Raw genomic sequence first — 13,203 nt, forward strand, 5'->3', positions numbered from 1 at the left:
AATACGAGGACAAGAAAAGGCAAAGAAATGTCCCTTCTAGTATAAGGGGACAAGAAATAGAAAGATTCTATCCTCAAATTCCAACTCTCTCCCATTCCCACACCAGCCCTCTTAGGTTAAGATTGAAATGCACATAGGTTGCAGCTACTGGACTTTTGGGGGGGTCCTGGAGAGAAGAGGTTCAGTAAAAGAGACAGGAGCCCCAGAGATTGAAGTATGAAAGAGGGTGGTGCTGAATCACCTGCTGCTGTAAGAATATGTTTGACATTTAGTTGGTTCCTAATTAAACAACCCAATATCAAACATATCACACAGAAGCAGGCAGGAGAGCTTTGGGGGTCATCTGCCTTCCTTCCAGTTGCAAAGAAAGAATAGAGCAGACACCAGGCACCAATCATGTCTAGGTGGAGAGCCATCTCCTTGAGGAAGGGTACTGGCTCCTGCTCTTCACCTCCCAAGACAGCCAGCTCTTGCTTATTGTCCTACGTGTCATCCCTGCCTCAGCTCCTCCTCTACAAGCTCCTGGCCTTTGCTGGATCACGTTGGCCTAAACCAGGAAGAATACCTGGCAGGGCTCCACATCCGGGCAACTATCGTTCCCTAGAGCTCCCACACAGAGCTTCTCACCCTGATGTCACGGCCCCAGCGCCCAGAGGATCAGCCGTGTCAGCAGCTCCTCATCAAAATTGCCACCTGCTCTCTTCAATGCCATTCCAGCTGCCCTGAGGCTTTCCGGGGTGGGGGCAGAGGACTTGTACACCCTGCTTTACCTTTCCAACAGAACTCCTAACCTTCCCAGATCACCCCCACAAGACTACTGAGGTCCGTTCAGGAGGCACCATCCTGGCACCGTCCTGCTCTTAAGTGCTGCAGATGCTTGGCTTCCCCTTTCTGCCAGCTTAACCCTTCTCACCTTCTCCCCATGTCCTCCAGGCATCCTCCTTAAAGTCACCCTTGGATGTCCAGAACAGAAGAATAACTTGTCTCCCTGGCAGGCTCCATCGTGGGCTCCAGAAGAGAAGACTTATAGTTCCCCACCTTGCCTGGCAGAATTGAAACTAAGGCTTTAGACTGAGGGTAAGAGAGGAAACTTCTGCCAGGAAGCAGCCTGCAGTCCACAGGAGTCCTCTCCTCTTCTAGGGCTTTTTACCAGAACTCCAGGCTGCGTTCTCCAAGGGTCTTCCCTCACAGGGATCCAGCCGGATTCCCACATGGGAAATTTCTCTTTTGGAGAGAATCAGGTCTGTTGAATGTCATGTGGCAGGCAGATGCTTCTCTCCACTGTGGCAGAAAAGAGCCCAAGTTATAGCTGCATTGGGGGCTGGGGGGCTTGAGTGGAAGTGTGGGGGTGGGAGGAGGACACTCTGCTTCAGCCCCTAGGCCTGTTCCATGTGTCCTTGTTCCCATTCCAGACACCCACCCCAAACCCCAGCATATACCAACTCCACAGTGTCCTTGATCTAGATCAATAGCTTGTCCCAAGCCCCAGTCAATTCCTGTTGTGTGGCTCTTGCCTTTCAGGGGAAGACTAACAAATCGGCATATACAGGCCCCAAGGTAGGCATCTGTGATGTTGTCTTATGTCTTTGTTCCTTTTTGGCTCCTAAAGGGGATGTGTATGTAATTTGTACTTTCTTGCTCTCCCTTCTTACCCTTAACCCCTCAAGTTCTAGTTCCCTTCTCTGAGAAGCTTACCCACATTCAAGAATCAGAAGCTGGAGGAAGAGAGGCTGGGAAAGAGACTAGCAGGAATGAAAGGACTTTAATGTTTGGGGCACTAGAGGAACAGAGAGGCAGACTGGGAATATGGATGCAGGGGAGAAGCAGCTGTCTTGGAAGGAGAGTTTGTATGGCATACCTAGGCAGAAACATCAGATGGCCTTTGATACAAGCCGTTTAGCTCTCCTGGAAATATCTACTATGTAGCCATTTCAAACAGGACTGAGCCCCTCTGAGCCAGAGGAGCTGGTTATAGCATTCGCCACAGAGGGAAGAGGGGCTGAATGGGTATGATGGGGTGATGTTATGAGAGCAGACAGAATAGATAGAGAGGATCAGAAGAGATGGGCTCTGTAGGGGGCCAACCTGCCAATACTGGAGCCAGCCTGGCACTGACAAGCCCTGGGGGAAGAGGCCAAGGTCAGGGATCAAGGCAGAGGGGATGGGGCATTCTGTGGGTTCAGATGAACAGAGGAAAGAAGAATAGCAAAATAGAAGGAGTTGGTGAGGGAGTCTGGTTGGAGGTAAGGGGAGCCCATGTAATGGAAAGGAATGAAGGAAAAAAACTATCATAGGAGCAAGAAAACATCATTATGGGTTACCATTTATTGGACATTTTGTGCTACTTGCTGCTAAGTGCTTTATTTAATCCCCACAGCAACCCAATGAATTAGGCATTATCTCCCTTTTTACATACAGCATAAAGAACTGTAACCCAGAAAATTAAAATAATTTGCACAAGGCCACACAGTCAGTGACAGAGCCAGCACTGAAACCCAGATCTGTCCAGTGTTAAAGCCTGTTCTCCTAACGCCAAAATATACTGCCTGTGTAAAAGAAGCAATAAGCGGCCTGGGAGACAAATATGGGGGAAGATTTAAAAAGTGAAGGTGCAGTCCGGGTGTGGTGGCTCACGCCTGTAATCCCAGCACTTTGGGAGGCCGAGGCAGGCAGATCATGTGGTCAGGAGTTTGAGACCAGCCTGGCCAACATAGTGAAACCCTGTCTCTACTAAAAATACAAAAAAATTAGCCAGGTGTGGTGGCAGGTGCCTGTAGTTCCAGCTACTTGGGAGGCTGAGGCAGAAGAATCACTTGAACCCGGGAGGCAGAGGTCGCAGTGAGTCAAGATCGCGCCACTGCACTCCAGCCTGAGTGACAAGAGAGATTCCGTCTAAAAAAAAAAAAAAAAAAAGTGAAGGAGCAGCTGGCTATTTGGCTCATGCCTATAATCCTAGCACTTTGGGAGGCCAAGGCAGAGACTGCTTAAGCCCAAGGGTTCGAGACCAGCCTGAGCAACACAGTGAGACCCCCATCTCTACAAAAAAAAAAAAAAAAAAAAAAAAAAAAGCCAGATATGGTGGCATGTGCCTGTGGTCCCAGCTACTCAGGAGGCTGAGGAGGGGGTATTGCTTGAGCCCAGGAGGTCGAAGCTGCAGTGAGCCATGATTGTACCAGTGCACTCCAGCCTGGGCAATGGAGCGAGACTGTCTCAAAAAAAAAAAAAAAAAGGCTGGGTGCGGTGGCTCATCCCTGTAGTCCCAACACTCTGGGAGACTGAGGTGAGCGGATCACAATGTCAGAAATTCAAGACCAGCCAGGCCAATATGCTGAAACCCCATCTCTACTAAAAATACAAAAATTAGCCGAGCGTGGTGGTGGGCACCTATAGTCCTAGCTACCCAGGAGGCTGAGACAGGAGAATCGCTTGAACCCGGGAGGGGGAGGTTGCAGTGAGCCGAGATTGCACCACTGCACTCCAGCCTGGGTGACAGAGCGAGACTCCGTCTCAAAAAAAAAAAAAAAAAAAAGCGAAGGTGAGATGAAGCTTCAGAAAATAGAGGGCCGGGGAGGACACAGGCAGACAGAAGGAATGAGCGACTCAGTCTCAGGTTTCTGGGTCAGATCCAGGTCACATGTTTTGTCTCCTATAAAACTTACACCATACTTGTCGTTACTTGTTCAGTGCCTGCCTCTTCAACTAGGCTGTGAATTCCACGTCATCTGGTGTGTAAGCACTCATGAGTAGTTATTGACTAAAGATAAGAGGGTTTGGGAAGCAGAGGTGATGGGAGTTGGGGGTTGAATATCGGATATGTAGCACAGACAGAGGAATGGGCATGGGTGGAGAATGATATTTGATTGGATAAGAGGGCTGGCCTAGAGGTCAGCAAGCAACCTCTGGAGGACCTGGGTCACAGAGAAATCTCCTGAGGGAGAACATGGAGGATACCTACTGTGTGCCAAGCACTGGGCTTATACATTATCTTACTTAATTCTTCAAATGAGCCTATGAGATGGGTATTGTCCTAATTTTCAAAAGAGGAAATTTTTTTTTTTTTTTTTTTTTTTGAGATGGAGTCTTGCTCTGCCACCCAGGCTGGAGCGCAATGGCACAATCTCGGCTCGCTGCAACCTCCGCCTTCTGGGTTTAAGCAATTCCCCTGCCTCAGCCTCCCAAGTAGCTGGGATTACAGGGGCCTGCCACCACACCTGGCTAATTTTTGTATTTTCAGTAGAGCCAGCGTTTCACCACATTGGGCAGGCTGGTCTTGAATACCTGACCTCAAGTGATCCACCTGCCTCGGCCTCCCAAAGTGCTGGGATTATAGGCATGAGCCACCACGCCCAGCCTAGAAGAGGAAATTGAGGCCAGTTAAGCTAAATTACTTCCATATGATGACACAAGAATTAAAGAGGTGAAGCCAGAATTTGAACCCACACCTGACTTCAAAGCCTGTGCTCTTATTTTTATACTCTACTGCCTCTTGATCAGTGGGATGTGTAGGGGCAGAGGAAGAAGCTCTGACAGCTAGAAGAAAAATGGGGGATTCAGTAGGAGACTGAAGGATGGAGACAGACTTGGTTGGAGGGAAGGGTATGAGTTTTGCAGTGGAGACAAAGGCACATAGAGTTGAGGTCAGGAAAATATCATGTGGACAGGATGAGTGACCAGTGAGGATGCCAACGGCAAGGTGAGAGCACAGGACAAAGTAATGTATAATGGCATTTACATCAGGGAGCGATGGTGTGTTCAGGGAGTGTATTCAGGGACTCATGGTGTATTCCTACAGCTGTCACTGGCTGTGAAATGGGGGTCTCTCTGGCTTGGGATGTCATTCACATGTAAAGTGGACCCTTTTTATTTTTGAGACGGAGTCTTGCTGTCACCCAGGCTAGAGTTCAATGACATGATCTCAGCTCACTGCAATCTCCGCCTCCTGGGTTCAAGCAATTCTCCTGCCTCAGCCTCCTGAGTAGCTGGGATTACAAGTGCCTGCCACCATGCCAGGCTAATTTTTTGTATTTTTAGTAGAGATGGGGTTTCACCATTTTGGCCATGGTTGGCCAGGCTGGTCTTGAACTCCTGACCTCAGGTGATCCACCTGTCTCAGCCTCCCAAAGTGCTGGGATTACAGGTGTGAGCCACCTCACCCAGCCTGTAAAGTGAACCCTTGTAAGTAAAGTTGTCTATGGCCTTCATATGATGCACATGGTCAATCAGTACTTTTCAGTATTTTTCAGAATTTTGAGTGCCTTTATTTTGACTGCTCTTTCCAGCCCCCTACAAATCCCACCACTCCTTATTTCCTTACAACTGTAACATTACCTGCCTGACCCCTGGAGACATTTAAGTTTGGAATCCTCTCTCTTGGCATAGGTGGGAATTCAGGCCCAGTGGAAAGAGACTTGTCCAAAGTTTCACAATAACTAGCTGACTCAAAACCCAAAATGCAGGCCTCCTCACTCAAGCACTACGGTGTCTGTAGATTAATAGCCACATTCAGAACAATTTGTCCAAATATAAATAAAAGATAAGTGAAAGTGATATCTGAGAGATGGCAAGTGAAATCCAGGAGGTTAAGATTACAGTAGCTGAAAAATAAGCACTTTTGAAACAAATCAAGATTTAGACATGAAAGAATGAGCCCAGTGGTCTAAGTTTGAGCCTTTAGGAAGTAAATTTATTTGTTATACCAAATCAGGATTCTCAACTCTCATTGTCCACCCCTCCCCACCCCTGCCCCCTTACATCAACATAGTAAATCCCACTATGACCACAAGGCGTCACTCTTGTTGTTACTGTTGTTTCATAGATTGTTTCCCAAATAGCGGCAAAGGATTAACGAGAGAGTGGAGAAGTGAGAGTGGAAGTGCTGTCTTAAGTCCCTGACAGATAGCAAGATCCAGGTATGTTTTGGGAAGGAGGTTCAAGGTGGTAGAGGTTCTAGAAGGCTAGGTTAGCAGGCATGTTGAGAATGGAAGAGCAGTGTTTTGGATGCCATCAGAATCTCTCTACATAAAAAGCTTTGCCCATCTGATTTAGTTCCTGCTGGTACTGCTGATGCTCCTTTTCAAACAGCTGGTGCAGGGCAGCTTGACGGACCTGGTGGAGAGGGCAGAATAGAGTGTGTTGTTTGCCTCTGTTTACCACCCTTTCTTATTCTTTCTTCCTAGTTGTTTTCCCATTATTTGTGTTCTCTTGGAGCTGGACTTAGCTGTGACATAAAGCTGGGTGGTAGCAGAGAGGCTGAACCAGCAGAGGGAAGCCTATCCAATTTTTTTCTCCACAGGCAAAGCCCTATGTTCAGCAAATATTTGCTGAGAACAGACCATGAAACAGGAACTCTACTAAGTAACTGGGATACAAAGATGGTTACATGGCACCAAGTGGGGACCCCGGGAGAGAGAGAGGTACCGAGAGGCAAGTGATACGCACTAAGAGGCAGTTTTTTTTGTTTTTTGTTTTTTTGAGACCAAGTCTTACGTTGTAGCCCAGGCTGGAGTGCAGTGGCACAATTTCAGCTCACTGCAACCTCTGCCCTCGTTTCAAGTGATTCTCGTGCCTCGGCCTCCCAAGTAGCTGGGATTATAGGCAAGTGCCACCATGCCCGGCCAATTTTTGTGTTTTTAGTAGAGAGGTGGTTTTGGCATGTTGGTCAAGCTGGTCTTGAACTCCTGGGCTCAAGCGATCTGCCCGTCTTGGCCCCCCAAAGTGCTGGGATTACAGGCCTGAGCCACCACACCCGATCTAAGAGGCAGTTTTGAGTCTCACCAAGATGAAAGGAGCAGGAACTAGAGTATACTTTGGGACTTTAACATGTGCCTGCCGCCTGTAAGGTGGATGCAAAGAATCACTTAATGAAAAAGAGTTTTGGCAATGGAGTTAGAGTTGTGTTGCTCTGGTGTAATGCTGAAAACCTAGAGGCAAACAAGATAAATGTGCAATGACACACACTAAGAGCTTGGAAAACTCAATGGGCAAAGGCACACAGCAGTAGTGAATGAGACTTCAGGTTGCCCTGCTAGAACTCACCATTAGTAGTTGCTTTTTGGCCAGTGCCAATTCCTGTACCATGGTGTCCTGCATCCTTAGGGTGGCATACGGGTTTCTTCTCTGGCCCAATGCCATTTGCCACAGACAGTGAGTATGTGAATTTCGCCACCTGCTCCAGGTACAGAGGTGGGGGTTGAATGGGTGGGTTAGAGTTAGGAGTAGAGACAAAAAACCCATAGAGTGAGGCTGTTTCTTTTTTCTTTTTCTTTTCTTTTTTTTTGAGACAGAGTTTCACTCTTGTTGCCCAGGCTGGTGTACAGTGGTGCAATCTTGGCTCACTGCAACCTCTGCCTCCCAGGTTCAAGTGATTCTCCTGCCTTAGCTTCCCAAGTAGCTGGGATTACAGGTGCCTGGCACCATGCCCAGCTAATTTTTTGTATTTTTAGTAGAGATAGGGTTTCACCATATTGGTCAGGCTGGTCTCGAACTCCTGACCTCAGGTGATCCACCTGCCTCGGCTTCCCAGAGTGCTGGGATTATAGGTGTGAGCCACCACGCCTGGCCCAAGACTGTTTCTTCACCTGGAACCTCTGCCCCACTGTTAGAAGACTGTAAAATCCTTAAAAGGGTAATTTAGAACCTAGTATGTATTAAGTACATAATATCATTTAATCATTACAGTAACTATGTGGCATAGGTGTTATTTTATTTATTTATTTATTTATTTTGAGACAGAGTTTTGCTCTTGTTGCCCAGGCTAGAGTGCAATGGTGTGATCTCGGCTCACTGCAACCTCCACTTCCCGGGTTCAAGTGATTCTCCTGCCTCAGCCTCTTGAGTAGCTGGGATTACAGGCATGCGCCACCGCGCCTGGCCCATAGGCATTAATTTTTACATGATACAGGTAAGGAAACTAAAAGTTGTGAGATGCCCAAGGTCACTTAATGGCAGACCTGGGACTCAAATCCAGCTTTTTTTTTTTTTTTTAGACAGAGTCTCACTCTGTCACCCAGGCTGGAGTGCAGTGAGGCAATCTTGGCTCACTGCAATCTCTGCCTCCAGGGTTCAAGTGATCCTCCTGCCTCAGCCTCCTGAGTCGCTGGGACTACAGGCATGTGCCACCACACCTGGCTAATTTTTGTATTTTTAGTAGAGACGAGGTTTCACCGTGTTGGCCACGCTGGTGTCGAACTCCTGACCTCAGGTGATCCGCCTGACTCAGCATCCCAAAGTGCTGGGATTACAGGTATGAGCCACCGCGCCTGGCCCCAAATCCAATTTCTCTAAAGTTAATATCCCTTCCCTCATACTAGTGATTCTCAGCCCTGGCTAGACTGGAATCTTCATTGAAGTTTTAATTTTTTTTTTTGAGAAATAGTCTCGCTCAGTCGCCCAGGCCAGAGTGCAATGGCCCGATCTTGGCTCACTGCAACCTCTGCCTCCCAGGTTCAAGCAATTCTCATGCCTCATCCTCCTGAGTAGCTGGGATTACAGGCGCCCACCACCACGCCCAGGTAATTTTTTTTTTTTTTTTGGAGACAGAGTCTCACTGTGTCAGCCAGGCTGGAGTGCAGTGGCGCAATCTGGGTTCATTACAGCCTCTGTCTCCTGGGCTCAAGCAATTCTCCTGCCTCAGACTCCTGAGTAGCTGGGATTATTGGTGCATGCCACCACGCCCAGCTAATTTTCATATTTTTAGTAGAGACAGAGGTTTCACCATGTTGGCCAGGCTGGTCTTGAACTCCTGACCTCATGTAATCCACCTGTCTCAGTCTCCCAAAGTGCTGGGATTACAGGCGTAAGCCACCATGCCTGGCTGCTAATTTTTAAATTTTTAGTAGAGGTGGGGTTTTGCCATGTTGGCCAGGCTGGTCTCGAACTCCAGACCTCAAGTGATCAGCCTGCCTCAGCCTCCCAAAGTGCTGGGATTACAGGAGTGAGCCACCATGCCAGGCCAGTTTTAAGTTTTTTAATATATAGAAAGAATATAAATATACATCATGCATGTACATATATCTACTGTTGGCATTTTTAAAAAATCAAAAGTACATTTTCCACATGTTGAAAAAATTGAATCTACACAGAAATACATTAAGTGAGGCCGGCCGCGGTGACTCATGCCTGTAATCCCAGCACTTTGGGAGGCCCAGGCGGGCAGATCACGAGGTCAGGAGATCGAGACCATCCTCACTAACACGGTGAAACCCCGTCTCTACTAAAAATATAAAAAAATTAGCTGGGCGCAGTGGCGGGTGCCTGTAGTCCCAGCTACTCGGGAGGCTGAGGCAGAAGAATGGCGTGAACCCAGGAGACAGAGCTTGCAGTGAGCCAAGATGGTGCCACTGCACTCCAGCCTGGGCGACAGAGCAAGACTCCGTCCCAAGGAAAAAAAAAATACATTAAGTGAAAAGTAAAAACTTTCTGGGTGCAATGGCTCATGCCTGTAATCCCAGCACTTCGGGAGGCTGAGGCGGGCAGATCACTTGAGGCCAGGAGTTCAAGACCAGTCTGGCCAACATGGTGAAACCCCATCTCTACTAAAAATACAAAAATTAGCCGAGCGTGGTGCCACACACCTGTAATCCCAGCTCCCCAGGAGGCTGGGGCACGAGAATCACTTGAACCCAGGAGGTGGAGGCTGCAGTGAGCCGAGATTGCACCACTGCACTCTAGCCTGGGTGGTGGAGTAAGACTCTGTCTTAGAGAGACTCTGCCTCAAAAAAAAAAAAAAGTTGTTATCTCTGACTGGGCAAATATATATATATATATATATATATATATATATATATATATATATATATATATATATATATATACTTTGTTGGGAATGACTGTAGTTTTTACTTTTTTTTTTTTCTGAGTCAGAGTCCTGCTCTGTTGCCCAGGCTGGAGTGCAGTGGTGCGATCTCTGGTTACTGCAACCTCTGCCTCCCAGGTTCAAGCAATTCTTCTGCCTCAGCCTCCTGGGTAGCTGGGATTATAGGCGTGTGCCACCACGCCCAGGTAACTTTTGCATATATATTTTTTTGAGACAGGGTCTCATTCTGTTGCCTAGGCTGGAGTGCAGTGTGTGATTATGGATCACTACAATGTCAACCTCTTAGGCTCAAGCAATCCTTCTACCTCAGCTGTCTAAATAGCCAGGACAACAGGTGTGTGCCTGGCTAATTTTTATTTTTTTGTAGAGACGGAGTCTCACTGTTACCCAGGCTGGTCTCAAACTCCTGCACTCAAGTGATCCTCTGCCTTGGTCTCCCAAAGTGCTGGGATTACAAGTATGAGCCACCACACCCAGCTACTTGTGAATGTTTTCAGAAAATGTTTCTATCATAAACTGGGAAGTACATCTTCTTTTTTAAAAAACATGTAATCAGGCCGGGCGTGGTGGCTCACGCCTATAATTCCAGCACTTTGGGAGGCCAAGGCAGGCCGATTACTTGAGGTCAGGGGTTTGAGAACAGCCTGGCCAACATGGCGAAACCCCAACGTGGTGAAACTCCGACTCTACTGAAAATACAAAAATTAGCCAGGTGTGGTGGCGGGCACCTGTAATCCCAACTACTCAGGAGGCTGAGGCAGGAGAATTGCTTAGACCCAGGAGGCGGAGGTTGCAGCGAGCTGAGATCGTGCTACTGCACTCCAGCATGGGCAACAAGAGCGAAACTCCATCTCAATAAATAAATAAATAAATAAATAAATAAAAGCAATAGTCATGAACATTCTTGTGTATGTACCTTCTAGTGCTTTTCCAAGTATGTATATTTAAGATAAATTCCTATTTTTGCCAGTTCAATGGATATGTAAATTTAAATTTTGATAGATTTTATCAAACTGCCTTTGTAAACATGGCTGTATCAACCTAGACTCCTATTAAAATCATATATGTTCTTGTTTCTTCACATCCTTGCTAGCTCTGGATATAACCCGTGAAACCTTAAAAAAAGGCTTCTCCTATCCCATTTCAGACCACTTTTATCAGAATCTCCTAGGGTTAAGAACTAGGCATCAGTGCTTATTTATTTATTTAAATTAAGTTTTTTGGTAGAGATGGGGGTCTTGCCATGTTGCCCAGGCTGGTCTCGAACTCCTGAGCTCAAGCAATCCACCTGCCTTGCCCTCCCAAAGTGCTGGGATTACAGACATGAGCCAATGTGCCCAGCTCATTTTGTTTTGTTTTGAGACAGGGTTTTCCTCTCTCACCCAGGCTAGAATGCAGTGGTGGCATCACTTGACCTGAGCTCAACTGATCCTCCTGCTTCAGTCTCCTGAGTGGCTGAGACTACAGGCATGCACCACCACACCTAGCTAATTTTAATTTTTTTGGTAGAGACAGGGTTTTCCTATGTTGCCCAGGCTGGTCTCGAGCTCCTGGGCTCAAGCAATCCCCCTGCCTCGGCCTCCCAAGGTGCTGGGATTATAGGTGTGAACCACCATGCCAGGCTTGCATCAGTGTTTTTTTTTTTTTTTTTGTAGAGACGGAGTCTTGCTCTGTCACCCAGGCTGGAGTGCTGGAGTGCAGTGGTGCGATCTTGGCTCACTGCACCCTCCGCATCCTAAGTTCAAGCAATTCTCCTGCCTCAGCCTCCCGAGTAGCTGGGACTACAGGCGCACACTACCATGCCTGGCTAACTTCTTTTGTATTTTAGTAGAGACAGGGTTTCACCATGTTGCCTAGGCTGGTCTTGAACTCCTGAGCTCAGGCAATCCTCCTGCCTCAGCCTCCCAAAGTGCTAGGATTACAGGCGTGAGCCACCGCGCCCGGCTGCATCAGTTTTTTCAAAAGTTCATCAGGGTGAAAAGGATACGTAGCCCAGTCTTGTGAATCTTCTCATTCACTGGTTCAACAAATACTGCACTACCAACCACATAATTAGTACAAAGCCAGGCAACAAATACTTGAATTCTTGATAAAAAAAGAAAATAAAAACATGCTTCAATTTTTCTCCAGAGAATGAGGCAGGGGACAATAAAAACCAATCTATATCACCTAACCTAGTAGGCACTAAGAGGCTGATCTCATTTGCTTTGAGGACAAGGCTGCTTCTCACCCCTTCCGCATCTGTTTTCCTCTTGATGAGCCCCTAAAGAGATGCAGCAGAGTTGGGAGGTGGCTCAGGGAAGACAGCAGAGTGGAAAGGTCAAGCTCAAAGGTAAAGGGAGGGGATAGAAGCAGATTACCTGTCGACCGTCTTCTTAAGTCCCATGGCCTTTTGAAAACTCTGCAAGAAAAGGTAGTTCTGTTGATCTGCCTCAGTCTCCAGAACCTCTATTCTAATGAGAGACATAGACCTTTTTTTTTTTTGAGACAGAGTTTTGCTCTTGTTGCCCAGGCCAGAGTGCAGTGGCGTGATCTCGGCTCACCGCAATCTCCGCCTCCCGGGTTCAAGCGATTCTCCTGCCTCAGCCTCCGAGTAGCTGAGATTATAGGAATGCACCACCATGCCGGGCTAATTTTGTATTTTTAGTAGAGATGGGGTTTCTCCATGTTGGTCAGGCTAGTCTCGAACTCCTGACCTCAGGTGATCCGCCCACCTCAGCCTCCCAAAGTGATAGGATTACAGGCGTGAGTCACCGCACCCAGCCACATAGACCTTTTTGAGAAAGCAATTTCCTGGGGGGAAATAGGGAGAGGAAAGCTCTACTTTCAGAATGGATCAAAGAAAACACGCAGGGGTTGGATAGAACACATATTTGAATACCTACTGTGTACTAGACACAGCCTCCCACTCCTGTTACTAACTACATTATACCCTTGTTACATCAAAAGCCTTTCCCAGTAAAAGATGCACTTATAGTAAATTGATCTGGAAACTTCATCAAACTTCAACCCAGCCCCTCCTTCCAACTCTGCATACCTCTTCTACTTTTGTCATCTTTTCCACAGACATGTCTATAGATTTGCTTGATACAGTCTGAGGAGACTGACAGGCTCCTCTGTTTAGTTCAGTAACCAAGGTTTCAGTAGTCATAGTAACATTTACACCTCCAACAATAACCCTGGGCCTAGGAGTTGATTGGCCACCTGGCCTGTTGCCCCAGAAACCTTGAGAGAATCCTTGTTCTGCAGCCTTCTGTTGGTGACACAGGCATCTATGAGCAAGGGCCACAGTCCTGATTTTAGGATTTCTTGTGCTAGGGTCCCAAGGAGTATGTGTATGGTCGTAGGTCCAGGGTATGCACACAGTCCCACCAATTCTCTGGAGGCAA

At 47.3% G+C, this 13,203-nt stretch overlaps 1 protein-coding gene and 1 non-coding gene across 2 annotated transcripts, besides 1 other annotated feature; both read right to left on the reverse strand.

The window, feature by feature from the left end:
* MIR190B (microRNA 190b) lies at positions 242-320 on the reverse strand. Its single transcript, NR_030600.1, has one exon. It is a non-coding gene; the product is annotated as a microRNA 190b (primary transcript).
* Positions 3,986-4,215: a silencer, noted in NCBI's record as "fragment chr1:154169885-154170114 (GRCh37/hg19 assembly coordinates)". NCBI's record gives its function as "represses an EF-1alpha promoter that drives an FKBP-Casp9 reporter gene in an ReSE screen in K562 erythroleukemia cells {active_cell/tissue: K562}" and the evidence as "EXISTENCE:reporter gene assay evidence [ECO:0000049][PMID:32094911]".
* Positions 5,662-12,910, reverse strand: CFAP141 (cilia and flagella associated protein 141). Its single transcript, NM_001010979.3, has 4 exons — positions 12,852-12,910; positions 12,175-12,215; positions 7,036-7,165; positions 5,662-6,105 (listed from the first exon to the last, which is right to left on the reverse strand). Exons 1-4 carry the CDS (start codon positions 12,882-12,884, stop codon positions 6,004-6,006), a joined length of 306 nt encoding a protein of 101 aa, NP_001010979.1. The 5' UTR covers positions 12,885-12,910; the 3' UTR covers positions 5,662-6,003.
* Positions 12,911-13,203: the final 293 nt, after the last annotated feature.

This window comes from Homo sapiens, chromosome 1 (genome assembly GCF_000001405.40).
Source record: "Homo sapiens chromosome 1, GRCh38.p14 Primary Assembly".
NCBI lineage: Eukaryota > Metazoa > Chordata > Mammalia > Primates > Hominidae > Homo > Homo sapiens.